Below are 21,879 nucleotides of genomic sequence, written 5' to 3'. Positions count from 1 at the left end.
TCTATCCTAAAGAAACAATTCAGAGTAACAATTTTGATCTAAGAAAAATAAAGATAAGCTTTCAAAAATGATGAGGTAGCATTTTGATTGGCCTCAACATCAAATAACCCGTCCAGGAGAAATGGACTTTTCAGAACACTGGAACTATGGGAAGACACCTAGGTACTGGCTCTGCTCTCTGGAGCTCACTCCTCATCTGCCTTCTTTTAGGGTTTGTCCTGATGCCAAGTTTGACTTGAGAGCTAAGATGTGCAGATCATGTTAAACATTCCCTTAAATGAAAACATACAGAGTATTTGTCTAGTTCCTCATAAATGGCAACATGATCCCAGGCCTAAAATCCACCCTGGCATTGAACTTTTCTGATACACTGTAATTTCGCTATGTCCAGGCAAAAATTACATCCAACAGTGATTCACCCTGCAGCCTGTCCCTTAGAGTTTCTGAAGGTCCAGAGAAGTTTTGTTGAGATATGTTGTATCTGTCATGCTATGTAGGTTTTTCAGCCCTTCAGTTATCATAAATAAAAATCAGAGATAATTTAACATCATCATCAGTGTGTGGTGTTTTAACTGGCAGAGAGAGAGAGACTCCTTGAAAACCTGTACACCTGGGTTACATTTTAAGTAACTGCACTTTTATATCATAATATAAATAAGTATGGAAACATTTGATTAAATCATCCAAGGCTATCAAAATTCTGCAAAACTTCCTAACCTTTATGTATCCCAAACAGTTCTTGAGCAAATCCAATAACTTGTTCTCTCATTTACCAAAATTGGTTGCAATTTATGTTTGCTATTTTTTTCTACAAAATCTGAAAATATTTCAAGGCACTGAAGACCTAAATTTTTAGCAAACTTAATAACCCGTTTGAAGTAGGCCATAATCAGTCTCATGTAAAAAAGAAAGTAAATTGTGTTAAAGATGGTTGTGAAAGTGAGAAAAATTAAAATAAATAGCATTAAAATATTAAATGTTTGAAATTCAAGAATAGCAATGGTCCTTTTTAGGAGGATTTAAGTTCATAAATAGAAATCCTGAGGGTGGCATTGCCTTTTCCTCCTTATAAGAAACCCCTGTTTTTTCAAGCAATTAAGGTCTCTGTAAGAGAAGTGATATGCTCATTTGTTCAACATTAGAATCGCAGCCTAAATTTTGCATGCTTCCTTCAAACCTTTTTGCTGCAAAGAAGACAAGAAAAAAAAAGACTCCTACTTCTCTGTATTCTTCACTGTGTCTTTACCTCACCTCCACTCATTGCCAGAATCTTTAATGAAAGGATTCACAAAAATGGGATGAAGAATTAGCATTTCTATGAATAAACAGATTCACAGTATAAAAATTAGTTTTTTCAAAAAAGCAGGCAAAAAAAAAAAAAAAACCCTCAAAATAAGACTTTAGAGAACTGGAGGTCGTTTGCTAATTTTCTAATTCAATTCCCTATGAGGGTGGGTCCATTATCCAAATAGTGATCTTTTATTTTCCTTTTATGTCTAAAAAATTATCTTTTAAGTCCCCGAAAAGCACTATAGGAATTAAAAGCAATTTAATACATTTCAGATTATAAAATGTACTGTGATTAAAGAAATAATTACTAAGGAGAAAGTATTAAGTATTATTTTTTAAAGACATTCACTCCTTAAACTTCTCGACAGCATTTACTAAGTGACCATTTGACATATTAGAGACTAAGGGCATCGTTTCTCCTCCAAAAGTGAAGTTTTGATCATTGGCTTCAAAATTCCCATTGCTTAAACTGCTCACGTAGGGAACTTTTCACATTTTCTAAAAACATCATTCTCAATATAATGATGACCTTAAAAGGATAGAAAGGCTATACGATTTGCAGTTAAGAACGTAGGTTTTGGGCCGGGTGCAGTGGCTCACACCTGTAATCCCAGCACTTTGGGAGGCTGAGGCGGACGGATTACGAGGTCAGGAGATCGAGACCATCCTGGCTAACACGGTGAAACCCCGTCTCTACTAAAAAAATACAAAAAAAAAATTAGCCGGGCGTGATGGCGGGCGCCTGCTGTCCCAGATACTCGGGAGGCTGAGGCAGGAGAATGGCGTGAACCCGGGAGGCAGAGCTGGCAGTAAGCCCATATCGCACCACTGCACTCCAGCCTGGGCAACAGACTCCGTCTCAAAAAAAAAAAAAAAAAAAAAAAATGTAGGTTTTGGAGGCAGACTGTGTTTAAAATGGAATTCTAACTGATAAGAAACTAAATGACAAGAAAGTTCGTAAAATGAGGAAAATAGTACCTCTTATATTTGTTTTGCTGATTAAAAGACTATATAGGTAAGGTTCTTAAACCATGTACATTTGGTAACAGTCTTAATGTATATCAGAGACAGGCCTAGAACTGTTAATCCCTGGCAGAACTTGCAATAGACACTCTTCTTACACAGCAAGAAAACTAGAAAACATCTTAAGAAATTCCTAAAGTATAATAATAATAAAATAAAAAAAATTGCTGCTGAGGACTTACCTACTTTCTATTGAATATATTTTCCAACTTCCTAGAGTTAAAATAGCTACTTGTTTACATCTCTATTCCAGTTATCATTACAACACTATTAAATCGATACATTTCTTACCTAATAGACTAAGCTTCTTTTCTTAATTTTTAAAACAAATTTTATTATGTATATTAAAGATATACAGCATAAGGTTATGGGATACATATAGATAGTAAAATGGTTATTACAGTGAGGCAAATTATCCATTATCTCACATAATTGCCCTTTTTTTTCTTTTTTTGTGGCAAGAGTAGCTAAAACTTACTCATTTATCAAATCTCAAATCTCAAATCTGTTATTAACTGTAGTCCTCAAGTGTTATTAACTGTAGTCCTCACGTTGTACATTACATCTCTAGACACATTTCTCCTCCATATCTGTTACATCGTATCCTCCGATCTACATATCTCCATTTCCTTCCCTTGGCCCCTGCCTCTGGTAACCACTGTTTCATTCTCTATATCTGTATATAATTTTTAGATGCCACCCATAATTGAGATCATGCAATATTTTCCTTCTTGTGTTTGGCTTATTTCATAGCATAATTTCCTCCAGATTCACCTAGGATGTGAAAAATGGCAGAATCTCTTTTTTTAAGGCTGAATAATATTCCACTGTTTCTTTAGATACCACAGTTTATCTATCTGTACATCAACAGACACTTAGGTTGTTTTCATATCTTGGCTATCAAGAATAATCCTGCAGCGAACATGGGAGTGCAGATAGCTTTATGAAGTGGTAATTTCATTTTTTCTGGGTATATACCCAAAAGAGAGATTGCTAAATCATAGGGTAGTTTTATTGCTAATTTCTTTAGAAACCTCCATACCATATTCCATAATGGCTGCACAATTCACATTTGCACCAACAGTATGAGTACTCTTTTCTCCACACTCTTACTAAAATGTGTTACGCTTTTTTTTAATTATAGCTATCCTAATTGATATGAGGAGGTATCTAAAAGAGTTTTGGATTTGTATTTCCCTGATGATTAATGCCAATGAAATGTGGAATATCTGTTCATATACCAGTTGATTATTTTTATGTCTTCTGTGGAGAAATGTCTATTCAGGGCCTTTGCCCATTTTTTATCTATTTATCTATTTCTGAGTTGTATAAAATCTTCATAAATTTTGAATATTAACCCCTTATCAGATATATGGTTTGCAAATATTTTTCCCGATATGCAGGTTGCTATTTTATTTTGCTGAGTGTTTCCTTTACTGTGCAGAAGCCTTTTAGTTTGAGGTAATCCCATTATTTATTTCTGCTTTTGTAGCCAGAGCATTTGGTGTGATATTAAAAAATCATTGCCAACTCTAATGTCAAGGAGTTTTTCCCCTATGTTCTCTTCTAGGAGTTTAATGATTTCAGGTCTTAAATTTAGGACTTTCTTACATTTTGAATTTATTTAAGTGTACGGTGTAAGACAAAGGTCCAATTTCATTCTTTCGCATGAGAACGTCCAGATTTTCCGGCACCATTTACTGACGAGACTATTTTTTCCCTACTGTGTCCTCTTGGTGCCTTTGTCAAAACTTATTTGGTCTTTTATGTTTAGATTTATTTCTGAGCTCTCTGTAATAGATTATGTTTCTCGAGGGAAATGATCACACTTTCTTCTTACCAAATCTCTTGGTATAGAAAAGATGCTCATAAAGTTTTTTGTGGGTCACAGCATGGCTGCTTGCCAATGTATTAGCACTCAGCAATGGCCCTGATTTTTCTCATCATTCTCATGTATGTTTTGAATGCAGAGGAAAGAGTCTCTCCAACTCTTTGCGCCACCACACTTCTGGAAAATGTCTGTGTTCCTCCACTGTCTTGACTCAAAACCACCTTGGTTTTCACCTCGGGTATAGGTAATCAATAAAATGGGATGCTTCTCTTGCCTTTCCTCTTGCCTCTTTTTAATTGTGTTCAATAGTACAGTTATTAAAATACTTTTGGAAAAGCTTATCCACCAACAGACAACCTTCTTTTTTTTTCTTCTTCTGTATTACTTTTTCAGGGATGCTAGGATAGTTTTAGAATCATTTAAGTAGAAAGCAGAAAGAATGGAGGCATTGCCCTGGAAAAGGACGAACTGAAAGGAGACTCTTAAAGGTGGAAAAATATATAGAACTAGGCAGGATCTATAGTTTTATGACCATAGAACTATTTATTGATACACTATCATTTGAAATAACATTTGTAAGCAGTATAAAGTCTTCTACTGCTAGTTGTACTGAAATAGCAACTGCTTACGATAATAAGAATATTATGATGTTAAAAATAATTTAATAAAGAAATGTTTATAATACATATATTGTGATAAGAAAATATAAGATCTACCCTCTTTTTTATGGGGGGGTGGCAGACAGGGTCTCTCTCTGTCACCCAGGCTGTAATGCAGTGGTGTGATCTCAGCTCACTGCAACCTGCACCTCCTGAGTAGCTGGGATTACAGGTGTGTGCCACCATGCCCTGATAATTTTTATATTTTTAGTAGAGATGGGGTTTTGTGATGTTGGCCAGGCTGGTCTTGAACTCCTGGCCTCAAGTGATCAACATGCCTCAGCCTCCCAAAGTGCTGGGATTACAGGCTTGAGCCACTGCACCCAGCCAGATCTACCCCCACAACACATTTTTAAGTGTACAATACATTGTCATTGACTTTAGATACCATGTTATACAGCAGATGTCTAGAGCTTATTCATCTTGTTTGACTGAAAATGTATGCCTGTTGATTAGTAATTTTCCACTTCCTCTCCTCCCAGAACCTGGTTACCACAATTTTACTCTTTGATTCTACAAATATGACTACATAGATACCTCATATAAGTGATGTCATGTGTTACTTATTTTTCTATGACTGGCTAGATACATCCTTGCTCTTGTGTTTTGAGCGCTATCCTGCATATATTTCAAATATTATTCTCCAACAGGGCAAAACTGAAAGTTAGCAGGACGTTTTCATTCATCGCCTCTAGTTTAAAGCGAATCTGGTTTGTTCTCACCGGCAAGTCATTTCCATCATGCAGAGGTCTCTGTTCTGACTGTCTTCATCATACAATGCTCACTTGAGTAGTGTGCACTTTACGTTCAGAGAGTAAATATGTACATATAAATATTTGCCGAAGGAGTCAGTAATGCACTCACAGCAATTAGTTTCATGTGCTCCCTTTGGGCACTCAGTTGGAAAATCGCGTATCTTCCTGGATGAAATACAACCTGCATCCTCACCAGGCACAAATCTGGCTTCAAAATTGAGATTAAGAGCATACAACAGGCTCTCTCCCTTTAACAAATAAACAGAATGCAAAATTATTTCATCAACACTAGCTTTTAAATATTCTGAAGGAGAAGAAGCTTGATTAAAGGCCAAATCAAAGTAGCACTTGCGATTTTCATCACGCGGACTGTGAGCAGAAAACTACAGCTCTAAGATTGCTTTGAAGTGGTGCAGCCATTTGTATGCCTGTTAAAGATTTCAAAACTTCAAGTCCTGTACAGGGTCTGGGTAGTCTGGGTAAACCTTTGGCCATTCTGCTCCATACATATAACAATTTACTGTCAATGGAGCATGGCACGTTTTTAAATATTCCTTTCAGTTTCTCTCCATAAACTTCTGCTCACTACTAATACTGAACTCCACAAATGAGATCCTATAATTGTCTACTGGACATATTTGCAAAAACAATAAGAAATGCCTTTTTTTCCTTTGTGTACATCCATTGATCTTTCAGGAATCATTCATGTAATCTGTCCTAATTAGATATATTATCTATCCAACTGATTTGGTGTTCAGATGGATGCACATATCCATGAATCCTGAGTGAATTTAAGAAAAGAATTCTCCATAAGCAAGATCAAGTGTCTCAAAAACTTTTGCTAAGGTTAACTTTAGTAATGATTTAAAACCTTTAACCACACTTTTGCCTCGGTAAGAGCTCAGGAAAGGCTGCCCCAAAGTACTTTGAACTGAAGGAGATTGGGAGGTACCCCAGGAGCAAGGTCACTCTGAACTTCCCTGACCTTTCTTTGTGAGCGCTGGTCATAAACAAATTATCTGGCTTATCTTGCCTGAAATTAGGTCACAAGATCCTCATTCTAGAGGGGTCCTTTCCTGTTCCCAGGGGGGAAGAAATTCTACACAAAGGAGTCAAGGAGACTCTGAACACAGAGGCTTTGCTAAGTTTCCCTGCTCAGTCTGTTACCATTGGATCATACCCTTTTGTCCGATCACATTTCAAAATGGCTGTTTGCTCTTCACCAAAACTAAGCAGAAAAATACACAGTTTTCTAAATAGGAAAAGGGGCTGAAAAACAAATAAAAACGAAAAAATAAAATAAAGCACATGCTTTTCCCTGGGACTTTGCATCTTCATTTCTGAAGGCTCCTGTGTCAAGTAAAACTTTGATAAACAAATTTGTTATGCTTTTCTCTCATTAAACTGTCTTTCATTCTCGGAGTGTCAGCTGTGACCTTTATGATGGGTGAAGAAAGGTTTTTGTCACACCTTTCTGCCCCTATACCTCCAAATACTACATTACAAGACAGTGCTCTTCAATGTCAACTTTAATGCTTTTCAGCTATTATGATTCCGGTGATGTGGTATTTAATTAAGAGAAAGAAAATCTTTAATTAAACAACAAAAATAAGGTAATCCTGTTTAACCCTTAAAAACTCGTGAATCTTTTTTTTTTTTTTTTGAGAGGAATCTTGCTCTGTCACCCAGGCTTGAGTGCAGTGGCGCGATCTCGGCTCACTACAAGCTCCGCCTCTTCGGTTCACGCCATTCTCCTGCCTCAGCCTCCCTAGTAGCTGGGACTACAGGTGCCCGCCACCATGCCCTGGCTAATTTTTTTGTATTTTTAGTAGAGATGGGGTTTCACCATGTTGGCCAGGCAGGTCTTGAACTCCTGACCTCAACTGATCCGCCCGGCTCAGCCTCCCAAAGTGCTAGGATTGCAGGTGTGAGCCACCGTGCCTGGCCAAACTCATGAATCTTTAAATGAATCCTTAAATCTGCTGCTCTGCACTCCTCGGTGTCTATCAGAATCATACACACATGTGCACAGACACGCATGCACACACCCATGCACACACACACACACACATGCACACATGCACGCACACACACAGACACACAGGCATGCACACACACACAGACACACAGGCAGACACGCGCACACATGCACACACACACACACTTGCATGAACACATGCGCAGAGCTTAGAATGGTCTATTATGCATGCAGGATACACATTCTGAATAAAGTAAATACACGTTAACCCAATATAAATTAGCACCCAGGGCCGGGCGCGGTGGCTCACGCCTGTAATCCCAGCACTTTGGGAGGCCGAGGCGGGTGGATCATGAGGTCAGGAGATCGAGACCATCCTGGCTAACAAGGTGAAACCCCGTCTCTACTAAAAATACAAAAAATTAGCCGGGCGCGGTGGCGGGCGCCTGTAGTCCCAGCTACTCGGGAGGCTGAGGCAGGAGAATGGCTTGAACCCGGGAAGCGGAGCTTGCAGTGAGCCGAGATTGCGCCACTGCAGTCCGCAGTCCGGCCTGGGCGACAGAGCGAGACTCCGTCTCAAAAAAAAAAAAAAAAAAAGCACCCAGAAATATACACTCTCTCGAATGAAAAATGTCTTTAATAAAGGACCTTTAATTAAAAGTTCTTTAATCGCCTCAATCCAGAATCATGTGACCCAAATTTTTCTTGATTAGTCCATTCAGCTCCTGTAAGAATACAACTGTTGCACTCACTAAATATGTTGTTTAAGTATATATAACTTAGGAATATACAGTATGTCTGATTTTCATATGCAAATCTTTTCCATAGATACAGATTAAGAAAAATAAAGTGTGACACTTTTCAGAAAACATTTTTAATATTGTCAGATTCATTGAGATCTGAGGGTAGGAGTGGTCAGAGAGAAACATCAATTAGTACTAGAAAGAGAAAGTAACTGAAGGTATAGTGTACATTCTTTCAATGTGTACATGATCCCAGAATCTAAATAATGATTAGGTTTTAAAATACATAGTTGACTATATGAGATCCATTTTTATGGCAACATTTCTGGCCTGTAATTGATATTCTCTCCAAAAAATTTAGTCAAAGAATTAGACAAACTCCATCTGTGATCTGAAAATATTAAATTTTGAATAGAAACACAGAATTTTAAGGTCCAGTTTTAAATTTTGGTTGGCCTTACATCATTTTCCCAAACACAACCTTTTTGCTTTTTTTGAACTCCTGGGTGATCCTGAAATATGAATATTATTACATGCTCATTTGAAGTTCTGAATAAAATTAATGGAGAAGTGAATATTTATAAAAGTGTATTTAAAATATGCAAGATAATTATAATTTTTTCATAATATTTATAATTAAAATATTTGGATGCAATAATTTCAGCTGCAAGCATAGAATATTTTCCATATTACTGGAAGAGAGGCCTAAGGACTAGACCAGATGTTTACCTTTTAAAATATATATATATATATATATTTTAGGTTTCAAGAACAGGTGATATAATCCACACCCTGTATTAGGTATTCGTGACTCTAATACATTTTATATTTTGATACTGAGAAGAGCTTAATTCAATGTTTAAAACAGCAACAACGACAAGGAAAAACTTACACTTGCTTTGTGTACTGGTCCTTGGTAGTGATTTATAGGAAATTTCACATTCCTGGGACACACTGATGTCATCTAGAGCAACGGTAGCATTTGACGACAAAACAGTAGCTTCCAAAATTAACTATAATTACAGAAAGATAAAACTGTTAAAAACACATCACAAAAGTAATGTCTTACAATCATATTTCTTTGTGTAGAGGAACCCTATTTACATCTGTCCCATTCTCCAATCTAATTTTAGAAAACTGTTCTGACCAGAACATCCTAATTTAAATTTATAAAACCATAACTGCTTTGACAGCATCTTATGTACCTTAATGCCAAAGGTAACCTTGTTTCAATTAAAAGTGGTAACATTCATCACGAGTGAAGGGCTCTCTTCTCATTGGAGCCATTAAGAGTCATATGCATTTATAATGAGCTCTTTGGGGTAATCAACTGTGTGACTTACAACTCAATTTAACTGAGATATGAATTGATTTGTAATCAGTGTGCTGAAGGCAATGATTTATTTCCATATTAAAATATTTAAATATTATATACATTCATACAAACATAATATATATTATATACATACACAGAAACATACTCACTGTAGTAAAGCACACATCAATAACCACATACAGTGGTTGATAATATTCATATGCTGAAGCACTCAGAGACATCTATTTAATTTTAGTTTATTCTAACGCTGAATAATGACTGATATAATTTGTTTTCTTTCTTGTTAATTACTCATATTATGTTGTTATTCCAAGAAGAAAAAAAGAGAGAGAGAGAGAGAGAAAGGAGGGAAAGGAAGAAGTAATTTATGCCAGGAATCTTATGAACCTGCATAGTGGACCACCAGTCCAGGACACAGACAGAAGGTACATTTCTATCCTGTCAAGGAGGGTCTCCAATCTCAAGGATCATTAAATTTACTTGTGCCAGGGCTCAGAACATGCTATCTCAAAATACAACACCTTGGAGTCAGAACATGCTATCCCAAAATACAGCACCTTGGAGTCCCTCTCTGCCTTCCCCTCTCTTTCCTTTGTGAGAGCCAGCCATAAAGGAATTATCCGGCTTACTTCTCCTCAAAATAGGTCATAAGAACCTCATTTAACTGGTGTCCTACCCTATCTATACCTGGATGAAAGAAACACTACACAGAGAGGCCCATAAAGATCTTTGCTGAGTTCTCTCCAAGTTTTTACAATGAGATCATATTCTTTCTGTCCATTTGTATTTCTTCATGATTGTCCATTCATTGTTGAACTTAAGCATAAACATAGAGAGTTTTCCCTGGTCTTCAGGCCTTTGTTTTTGAAGGCCCCTATGTCACATAAAATGTTAATAAATTTGTTATTTTTTTTCTTTTTAACCTCTCTTTTGTTATAGGGCTTCCAGCCATGTCCCTTGTGATGAGTGAGGAAACGGTATTACTTTTCCTCTCCTACACTTCGTATGATACATTCACTACCCTACATCATAAATGCTGTATAAGAAATAAGTATAAGATACTAGGAGACTCAAAGAAGACACTTCATTATTTCTGCCAATAATGAGAGTTTGGGAAAAGATTTGGTGGAGAAGTAATAGTAAGCCTCCATGATACCAAATTTTGTTGGGCAAAACATTTTACCTCGAGAAACTGAGGCAGCAATCGCAGCAAAAACACAGAGATGAGAAAGTGTATTGTGTGTTTAGAAAATGTTGATGGGTGTTAACGGAGTATAAGATTTTAAGAGAACAACAAATTAATCAGATAATAGATGGAGAGGAAAATTCCATGAGTTGGTACAGCTCAACTGGAGAGAAACTAGACAGCATTTGTTAAAAAGAAAAATTGCATAGACTATAAAAATTGAGTTAATTTCTTGGCATTTATCCTAGAGAGACACTCAAAGGTATACACATGAAGGCTTGTGCAGGAATGTTTATTTCAGTGCTGGTTTTGATGACAAATGACAGGAAAGAACTTACATGTGAATGAATCAATCAATAGTGAGAAATACTATACCAGTTAAAAATAATATCTATCGCCATGTGTCATTATGGAAAGAAATTCAACATGTGTTTTGGAGTAAAAAAAATAAGTTACAGAAAAATATTATAGTATAATATTACTTAGGCTGAAAACATACAATGGTTTAGATTTCCAAGTATATGTGGTACATTTATACATATTAAGTAAATAGAAAATGGACTGGAAGTAAAAATAAACTGGTATCTAAAGATACTCAAGATAAAATCTATGGTGGGTGATAAGGGTGGTCAGCAGGGACTGTTGCTTTATTTGCAATTTTTGATATTTTAATGTGATGTACATAATAATTTTTAAGATTCTGATTAGAGATGATTTCTGTAGAATCTTAAACTAAGAAATTTAGCCTTCATTCCAGAGGCAGAAAATAACATAGGTTTTGAAGAAGGATCTTGGTAAAATATACACAAGTATTGTACTTTAGAAATATATTGTGTTTAATACCATTAAGTGACTGTGATTTTTTTGGACAGCTTAACTTTTGAAAGAGTTTTTCTATATTCATGATTATAATACATCTTGCATTGATGTCAATTAAAATAGATGTTTAATTCTTCAGACTCATTAGACAAGCATTTGTTGACCATCATATTTGAAGGTCTGTGCTACTCAGAGAAAACTGGAGGAAAAAAAACGACAGTTTGAGGCACTTCTCTATGCTCCTAAAGAGGTACACGCTCACATTATTTGAATGGAATGGGTGGGCCCTGGGATGAGGTGAAGTAAAATCCTGAGGTAGTCTTTAAAATGTGGTTACATTACTTTACCTGAAGGGACCCACCAGGTTCCTTTAGATATTCATATTAAAATGGAAGGATAAATCCAACTTCAAAAGCCAAATAAAAATAATATTAGGTCATCTATATTTTGCTTGCTTTCTTCTACATAGTTAAATTCATAATTATACAATTAGAAATTGTAATTCTACCATTAATTAAAATCATACGAATTTTAAAATACAAGCAATTACTTCCTTCAAAAAATGTCTGTTACACCTGTAAATAATGACCATCTCATGGTTTCAAAATCACCTTGGCTGTTCCTATTTTTTATTGCTGGTTTTAACCAAACTGATATATACATATACATATACATATATATATGTGTATATATGTATATATATGTATGTGTATATATGTGTATATATGTATATATGTATGTGTATATATGTGTATATATGTATATACATAACCAAACTGATACATATACACATATGTGATATATGATATATATCACATATATGTGATATATGATATATATCACATATATGTGATATATGATATATATCACATATATGTGATATATACATATATTATATGATATATATCACATATATGTGATATATACATATATTATATGATATATATATCACATATATGTATATATCATATATTATGTGATATATATCATATATATACGTATATACGTGTATATATGTATATATATGTATGTGTATATATGTGTATATATGTATATATATAACCAAACTGATATATATACACATATATGTATATATGATATATATATCAATATATGTGTATATATATCGTATATTATATGATATATATACGTATATACGTGTATATACGTATATATACACACACATACACACATATATGTGTGTATTTATATACACACATAGACATATATATGTGTGTGTGTATTTATATACACACATAGACATATATGTGTGTGTGTATTTATATACACACATAGACATATATATGTGTGTGTGTATTTATATACACACATAGACATATATATGTGTGTGTGTATTTATATACACACATAGACACATATATATGTGTGTGTATATATGTGTGTGTGTATATACATGTGTGTATATATATATATATATATATATATATATGTATATAAAATATAAAATGTTGTGACCAATTCCCTTTCGGAACTACAGTCAGCATCAATTGGTAATCAGTAAGTGAGAAAGAGGTCACTCAGAAGAGCTGTTTCAACCACAGATGGAGGAAGAGTGAAAACCTCATTTGATAAGATTCTCAAGGTAATTGAATAATTTACATTTTAAATTGAATTAGATGACTCACTCTTCTAAAACTATTTTTTGGGATCTTGTTGATTTTTGTTTTATTCAATTATATTATTCCTTCTATGAAAAAAATAATTTCTTGCTTTTAGGAACCACAAAAATTCATAAATGTTCATAATCAAGTGATTACTTTTTACAAGTGCAAAACTCAGGTGCTTTTCCAGACAAATACGCAATTAACATAGAAATCTTGTTTTCAAAAAAAATAACGGGAGCAAAAAATGAATATGAATCCAAGAGAAAATAGAGATATAGTAAGAAGGAGTAGAGAGTAGTAGGAATATATTAATTTTTGAAGAATGATGATGGTATCAATAATAAGAGCAGCAGCCACCTTTTATTTAGCACTTACTATATGCCAGTCACATTCACTTGTTTTAATCCTGTGAAGATGATGCTATTTTCATCTTATTTTAAGGTGAAAGAAACAGAAGATTAGAGAATAGAAGTAATTGGTTGAATGTCACATGTCAAGTAAGAAAAATATGTAAGCTGAGCCATTAATGATTATACTATCCTGCATCTCTCTAATGAAATAAAGAGATAACTGGGCTTTAGTGGATGCTGCAGAATAGGGCTGTCTGGAGAAACAAGATTTCATGCAGCTCTAGATTAAGCAGGCCAAGGACCCAGCAACTTTACGGAGACTCGATCACCTTTTACTTTTGTGTTATGAATCTTACCCTTCACTGAATCGTCAAATAATGTCAGGAAATTGTTATTGATTTATATCATTGACTCCGATAAAGACAGAACATGGTATCCATCATTGTGTGAAATTTCACAAAAGGTTCATTTCAAAATGAAATCTAAAATATGATACAATTACATTTTAATGGGAAGCTCGAAGAAAGTAGAGCAACTTGAAATCAATGGACTACTCAGAAAAAGTGCCACCTTGAGATACTAAAACAGCACAATAGTTAGGGGGAAAAGAAATATTAAAAGAATCTATTAGTGTGAAAAGCTGAACATAGCAAGTGAGCAGGCCAAGTTAAAACAGATTTGAAAAATGCTATTAACTCTTTGACCTAAATTTTTCCAATAAACTCTCACAAGAAATAGAGGGAATATTGAAATGTCATTAATTTGCTGTTCTTACAGAGAAAACAGTAAACCTAATTCTTTGCCAGCAGGAAGAGCAAATGCCCTACCTAACTAGGGGTGCTTATTTGCTATGAAACCCAAAGCAATTTGTATTCTGTTATATTGTCTACAATTGACATCAAAAGAACCACACTGAATCAGAATTTCATGGCTAAAAGGGAACACAGAGGTCACATGATTTGATGTCTTTCTTCTTTCCAATATTTGGACTGGATTACACTGTACTGTATAAATATGTTCAGAGCTTAGACACGTGGAACTGAAAGCTAGACAATGACTAAGGTCACCCTTAAATGACTCAGGCTACTAATCTTAAATCCTAGCCTATTTCCAAGAAGACAAACTTTAAATATTTGAATATTTAAAAAGCTAGATTAACTATTTGTAGGTAGAATATCTTTTTCATTTGTTGTCGATAAAAGAACAAAGTAGAACTGTACCTAGCTAGAATCCTCATGTATATTTTCATATCTTTAAAAATACACTCAGAGAAATCAGGTTAAAGCCAGCATAATATTAGCATCTTTTTTTTTCTGCAGAGGATAAGAAATGGGATGGAGAGAGATACAAGGAAGACAAAAGTTGCATCTTCATAAGCAAACAAACTTTAACATTATAAGCAAACAAAATGTTAACATTAGTTAATCCTGAGCTGTATTTAGGTATTTGTTTCTCTCTGTTTTAACTACTAGTTAGAAATATTTAATAGTAAATATATGCAATACTCATGTATTAAATATTACCATGTATGTATCTGTGCAAGTGTATCTATTTTTATATATTGTGTATGTATAAAATCCAGACTGATTCACAGCAGAACATCATTGCAAGTCCACAGTTCCTTATCTAAAGTCTTTGGGGTCAGATGAGTTTTGAAATGTGAATAGCTCAGAGCTGAGAATGGTAACATAACACCGAGAGTGTTTATTACACGACACCCTCTGGGAGATTGGGGGCAGCACTGTTTAATCAAACCTATCATGAAATCAGCTGCCTAAAGGCCTCACAGTGGTTCAGGGCAGCTTGGGTTTTGCCTCTAAACTCATTTTTTAAAAGCTTATTGCTTTCCAAATTTAATTTTCTAAATTGCTGATTGGATATTATAGGGCTGTCTTGGCCTTCTTGAGAGTGAAATGTGAGGGAATTTTTTTTTCTTATTTTTCTTTTACTCATCTGTAGTTTCCCAAATAAATGTGTGCTGTAGCCAACTCATAGGCAGATTAAGTGGGGAGGCACAGAGGAAAAGTCTTAGCTTCTCTGGGGTGAATTCAATGTGACCGAGGCCTCGAAAGAACTCAGCATTGAGGCTGATTGGAGAGAAAAAGCAACACAAGGTGCTGAGCCACCAGCAGGGGGATGAAGGGAGAGGGAGGAGCAGGGCTGGGTTAGAAACCCTCACACATCCATTGCAGCCAAATCACAGAATCTAACCAAACCACTGCCCATCTACAAACTAGTTAATATGCCCCCAGATAATAAGGGATAGTCTCCATTTGCACTGCAAAGCAAAACCATTACTATATCCAAAAAGGAGAACATTAAAGAGAAAACAAAAATTGCATTCACTGAAACTCTTCAGTAATGTTGATGGGTCCATGAGAGCTTCCAGCTGTAGACAGAAATGGCATGTGTTTCAACTCATATTTCTAAATTACTTACTGCTAGAAAGGACATTCTATTTTCTTCTCAATATGTCAATTAATGACAAACTCTGAACGATCTTCTTGGTGAGTTTCATTCTAACTAAAAGCAAACCGAATGAAAACAATTTTCTATAGAATATAAATGCAGGAGGCAAAAGATCAAATTGTTCTGATTTCATTGCCCTGCTCCTTGCAATGGAGATTGACACCAAAATGATTCCATGACCAGCCTTTGTGTCAAATGCTTCCCAATTAAGAGCTGCTAGTATTCATGACGTCTTTGTCCATTAAATATGAGAATAGAATAAATTGATCTTTGAGAAGGGACGTTGGGGACCTTCACTGAGTAAAGAAGCCTTTAATGATCGAGCCTAGAGTTCTGATCAAGCGGGAATTCCCTTTTTAAAACAGAGAACACTAACATTTATTGAGTGTCTACTATTTCCAGACAATATCCAAGGAATAACTACAGCAATAAAAACAGCGGAATTCTGTGTTTGTGCCAGATTTGCTTCCATGTGCTTTACAAGTACACACCATATAATCCTCACAATAACTGTATAAAGTAGAGAACAGTAATTGATTACAGTTGATGCTTATGCCCTAGTCTTCCTGCTTTCATGGGGAGGTGGTTCACTGTAGTAACATTGCTGTTACTTACCCCTCACTCCATGGGAGGAGGAAGATTTATCTGACTGTGAAGTTAGAAGAGTAACCTGGGGGAGCTCGATTCATCCTCTTCTCCCATTCAACACCCACTATTGGGAGCCAGCCTGTCCTCAGGAGGCATGCACACTGATATTATCTCTGGCTAAAGGTAAGAGACTTCGCCTAGAGTATGAGCTCTATATTTCTCCAGCACAGTCAATTGTCCCCTGGGTAATTCTATTTATTCTAAGATCAAGCATTATTTTAAATAAGTGACTCTACATCCTAAAGCCATCTGCTCCAAAATATGTATTCTCTACCTGTTTAACCTCTATATTTATCTCAATTTGTTCAGAAATGAGGATGAGATGACCTTAAATCCCCAACTATTATCCTCACACCCCACTAATGAAAGAGGCATAGAGGGCTTCGGTAACTTCCCTATAATCATACACTTTTTTGTTTTTGTTTTTTTAAGATGGAGTCTCACTCTGTTGCCCAGGCTGCAGTGCAGTGGCGCCATGTCAGCTCACTGCAACTTCCACCTCCCAGGTTCAAGTGCTTCTCCTGCCTCAGCCTCCAGAGTAGCTGGGACTACAGGCACGTGCCACCATGCCCGGCTAATTTTTTGTATTTTTTGTAGAGGTGGGGTTTCACTGTGTTACTCAGGATGGTCTCGATCTCCTGATCTCGTGATCCACCCGCCTCAGCCTCCCAAAGCGCTGGGATTACAGGCATGAGCCACCACCCCCAACCCTTTAACTTGAACCCAAGTTTCCAGAGCCCATGTTCATGGCTGCCATTTTAGCTATATTATCTTTAATATTCAGACTCCCCTGGAGTATTGCTTTTATCATCACTGGTTTTCACACATTAGGAAATTTGATGCACAAAGACAATATTTACACAGTCACTTAGCAACCAATGAGCAGAGCAGAGACTAAAACTCAGACCACTGACTCCAAAACAGTGTGCTTTCCACCATATTCCACTCCATCCAATCTAGTTTCCAAAATAGCTCTTTTCAAATGTCATCCAGAAGACTTATATACAGGAAGGTAGAAATTAGAACACCCATTTGACAAGACACAATTGCCTTCTTTTATTATTATATTTTATTAATACATAGTAGTTGTACATATTTATGGGGTAAATGTGATATTTTGATACATGCATATAATGTGTCACTATCAAATAAAGGTAATTGGGATACCATCTCCTCACACACTTCTCATTTCTTTGTGTTGGGAACACTCCAAATCTTATCCCCTAAATATTTTGAAATACACAATAACTTGTTATAATTGCCCTACTGTGCTATCAAACACTACAGCTTATTTCTTCTATCTAACTAACTACATTTTTTAACCATTAACAAAACTCCCTTCCTAACCTCCTCCTCCCCACCTTTCTCAGCCTCTAGTAACCACCATTCTCCTCTCTACCTCCATGAGATCAACTTTTTAGTTCCCACACATGAGTGAGAACCTGCCATATTTGTCTCTCTGTGCCTGGCTTATTTCACTTTGTATAATGTCCTCCAGTTCCCAAAGGTGGATAACATTCTCAATGTTACCAGGCAGCAGAAAGTGAGGCAATAGGATTAAAATATTACAGCCCACGTCAGACTTTTTCACTACATCATATAATCCAACGTCTTCACTTAGAAATGATTTTAAGTTACTCTTCTCTCTGCCATCTTATTCATTTCTTATCTCCATTTTTGCTACTATTCTACACATGTCTTAAGTGCATAGTCAAAACAACCTCTCTACTCATCACAGATCATGTGTTTGATCTCTGAATGTGTTTGCTTCATTAATGTTGAATAAATTCATGAGCTATGGTGTTATTTTGTTATCTGAAAGGATTAGCATTAAATAAGTGTCTTCTGTTGCATTGTATTAATTTCATATGTGCTCACCTGAAAAGGTATGAGCTATGTGTGTTATATTGTTATCTGAAAGGTTTAGCATTAAATAAGTGTCTTCTGTTGAGTTGTATTAATTTCGTATGTGCTTACCTGAAAAGGTAGAGTAGATTCTCCCGCTTCTGCAATGAGATCAATTTTTGCGTGGCTCCACTGAGATTCGGAGAATCTGATTATTTTGCCCTGCTTTTGCAAGTTTCCATCTAGAGACGTTCTTGTAAAAACTGAGAGATTTGAATGTTGAGACAAATGATACCAAAACTGCACCTGTTGAAAACATGTTTTCAATGATATAAATATTCCATTGACCTGTCTCTGGTAGTTTTTCCTATAATTTGAAATATTCCTGACCTCAGGTGATCTGCCTGCCTCGGCCTCCCAAAGTGCTGGGATTACAGGCATGAAACACCATCTCTACTAATAATACAAAAAAATTAGCCGGGTGTGGTGGTGCATGCGTGTAATCCCAGCTATTCGGAAGGCTGAGGTAGAAGAATCACTTGAACCCAGAAGGCGGGGAGGTTGCAGTGAGCTGAGATCACGCCATTGCACTCCAGCCTGGGCAACAAGAGTGAGACTCCATCTCAAAAAACAAAACAAAACAAAACAAAACAAAACAAAAACAAAACAAAACAAAATATATATATATATATATATATATTCCAAACAACTTCTGTGTTAAATATAATCTTCTCAATTCTCCTTTCTCCCAGATGTGTAACCCAGTCATGGGCAGTACCACTGTTTCCATGGAAGTTTCCAGAATCCTTCTCTCTGGCTTCTTACAAATATGAGAGGTACACATTGAGACTCAACGTTACAAAATCAAGTATTACTATACATACTTGATGTTTCAAACAAGAAAAAGTTTCCTTAAAAATCATTTTCTTAGGTTAATTTTAAAAACTGTAATTAATACTTTATATCAATTTAGTCTCTGTGGTAGCATTAACAAATAACGTGGAAGCTCACAGGATACTGTTCATCAATAATTGAGCCAAGTAAGACAACATTCTTTGAGGGTAGGGAGGCTTAATCATTTCACTTCCTATTCACCATCAATAATGACACAATCTAAAGGTTTGATGGCTTAACTACATAGTGAAGAGAATAGAGAGGATTATGCCAGGTGCTGATAGCAGTAGCCCTAACATGAAATTGCGTACTGTTATTGATTCAACCAATATTTACTGAGCACTTTCTAAGTACCTGGAGCTGTATGAGGCAAAAATTAATTCCCTCAATGTTGTTTGGATGATTCATTCTGTAAAATATGCCCACAAAACCTCCATTAAAACAAGTTCAGATATGCTGCAGTCAAATGTTTTTGCCTCTTCTCATTATCATATAACAGGTCCTAAGGCTGTATGTTTTAAAGAAAAACCCAACATTTAAAGATGAGGTCCCACAAAAGTGGAATACTTCTCTTTAGATTCAGTGACATTTTTTCAGGTTCATTATATTTTAAATTCTTTTTAAAAAATGTTTTCCCATTCATCATTGTGCTTTTATACTGATAAATGGACAGATTCTAGTGTATATATAGGCAAGCCATGTATTTCACTGTTGGGACCCAATTCCAGTGATGAATGTTGACCAAAAAAAATGTTTTAAATGCTTTTTTAAAAAAATTGTTCATTTTAAAACACCAAGCATTCTATTTGGTACACATTTTTATCAATGTCTACTTAATTGTGACCACCTGATTTAAAAATTCTGATTGTTTATTTCATTTCAGATTTTATTACTGTGCTTACCTTAATTCACACCTTGACAGGTGAGTTAGAAACAAAAATAATGGAAATGTTTAATTAAATTCCATGGAAAGAGAGGATTCATGTTTCTCAACTGCAATTACATTTTAGATCCCTGCTGTAAGTTTCACTATGTCCCAAGCTTGTAAATATGCAAAACAGAGCTTTAAACCTAGTTGTACAAGAGATGTGCATGTCCCATCAGAATTCTGAGCTGTCAAACTGTCACTCAGTACATCACCAGTGTGAAGTTATTTTAATAGTGTATTAAGTATAAATGCCAATGGGATCCATAGTCAATGGGATAAGAGCTCAGAACTTATATTTAACTTACTTTTTCTATAGAATTTGCATTATGGAGACTTAAATTCTTAAGTTATTAAATACCAAGGAATGTTCCATTATCTTTTGAATTTTTGAGGGTGAAATCACTGAACAAAAGTTATTGATACAGCCCACAATTGTTTTCAACTCATTGTTTTTCCTTTTTACTTCTATTTTAGGTTCAGGGGTACATGTGAAGATTTGTTACATAGGCAAACACGTGTCACGGGGACTTGTTGTACAGATTATTTTGTCACCCAGGCACTAAGCATTGTACCCAATAGTTATCTTTTCTGCTCCTCTCCCTCCTCCACCCTCCCCCCTAAAGTAGACCCCCGTGTCTGTTGTTTCCTTCTTTGTGTTCATTGTTCTTATTATTTAGCTCCCAACTTGCAAGTGAGAACGTGCGGTATTTGGTTTCCTTTTCCTGTGTTAGTTTGCTAAGGATAATGGCCTCCAGCTCCATCCACGTTCCCACAAAAGACATGATCTTGTTCTTTTTTTATGGCTGCATATTCCGCAGTACATATGTACCACTCTTTCTTTAACCAATCTGTCATTGCTGGGCATCTAGGTGGATTCCATATCCTTGCTATTGTAAATAGCGCTGCAATGACCATTCACATACATGTGAATGTATCTTTATGATAGAATGATGTCTTTTTTTTTTTTTTTTTTTTTTTTTTTTAGACAGGGTTTCACTCCAGTTGTTCAGGCTGGAGTGCAGTGGCATGATCACGGCTCACTGCAGCCTCAAACTCCTGAGCTCAGGTAATTCTCCCAACTCAGCCTTCTCAGTAATTGGGACTACAGGCTTGCACCACCACACCCAGCTAATTTTTTTTTAACTTTTTAGTAGAGATGAAGGTTTCACCATGTTACCCAGACTGGTCTTAAACTCCTGGACTCAAGCACTCCACCCACCCTCAGCTGCCCAAAGTACTGGGATTACAGGCGTGAGCCACTGCACCTGACCTATAGTAGAAAAATTTCTAGTACTGTGGGTATATGTACCAAGTAATGGGATTGCTGGGTGGAATAGTAGCTCTGCTTTTAGCTCTTTGTGGAGTTGCCATACTGCTTTCTGCAATGGTTGAACTAATCTACACTCCTATCAACAGTGTATAAGCATACTTTTTTCTCCACAACCTTGCCGGCATGTTATTTTTTGACATTTTAATAATGGCCATTCTGACTGGTGTGAG

At 35.8% G+C, this 21,879-nt stretch overlaps 1 protein-coding gene across 10 annotated transcripts in view; it reads right to left on the bottom strand.

Moving 5' to 3' along the window:
* Positions 1-21,879, bottom strand: part of MALRD1 (MAM and LDL receptor class A domain containing 1) — a 687,552-nt gene that overhangs the window by 549,979 nt on the left and 115,694 nt on the right. For 7 of the 10 annotated variants that reach the window (XM_011519453.3, XM_011519454.2, XM_017016183.2 and 4 more), the window contains 2 exons: positions 18,690-18,863; positions 9,172-9,292 (listed from right to left, as the gene is read on the bottom strand). In XM_011519453.3, the coding sequence (XP_011517755.1) occupies positions 9,172-9,292; positions 18,690-18,863 (295 nt within the window). Of the gene's footprint in view, positions 1-5,667; positions 5,807-9,171; positions 9,293-18,689; positions 18,864-21,879 lie in introns of those variants that run through there. The other 3 variants (XM_017016184.1, XM_017016185.1, XM_011519455.3) reach the window with 3 other exon arrangements.

The sequence above is a fragment of the Homo sapiens genome, chromosome 10 (assembly GCF_000001405.40).
Source record: "Homo sapiens chromosome 10, GRCh38.p14 Primary Assembly".
NCBI lineage: Eukaryota > Metazoa > Chordata > Mammalia > Primates > Hominidae > Homo > Homo sapiens.
Note: the sequence above shows the minus strand (reverse complement) of the source record. Positions and strands in the feature narration are given on the sequence as shown.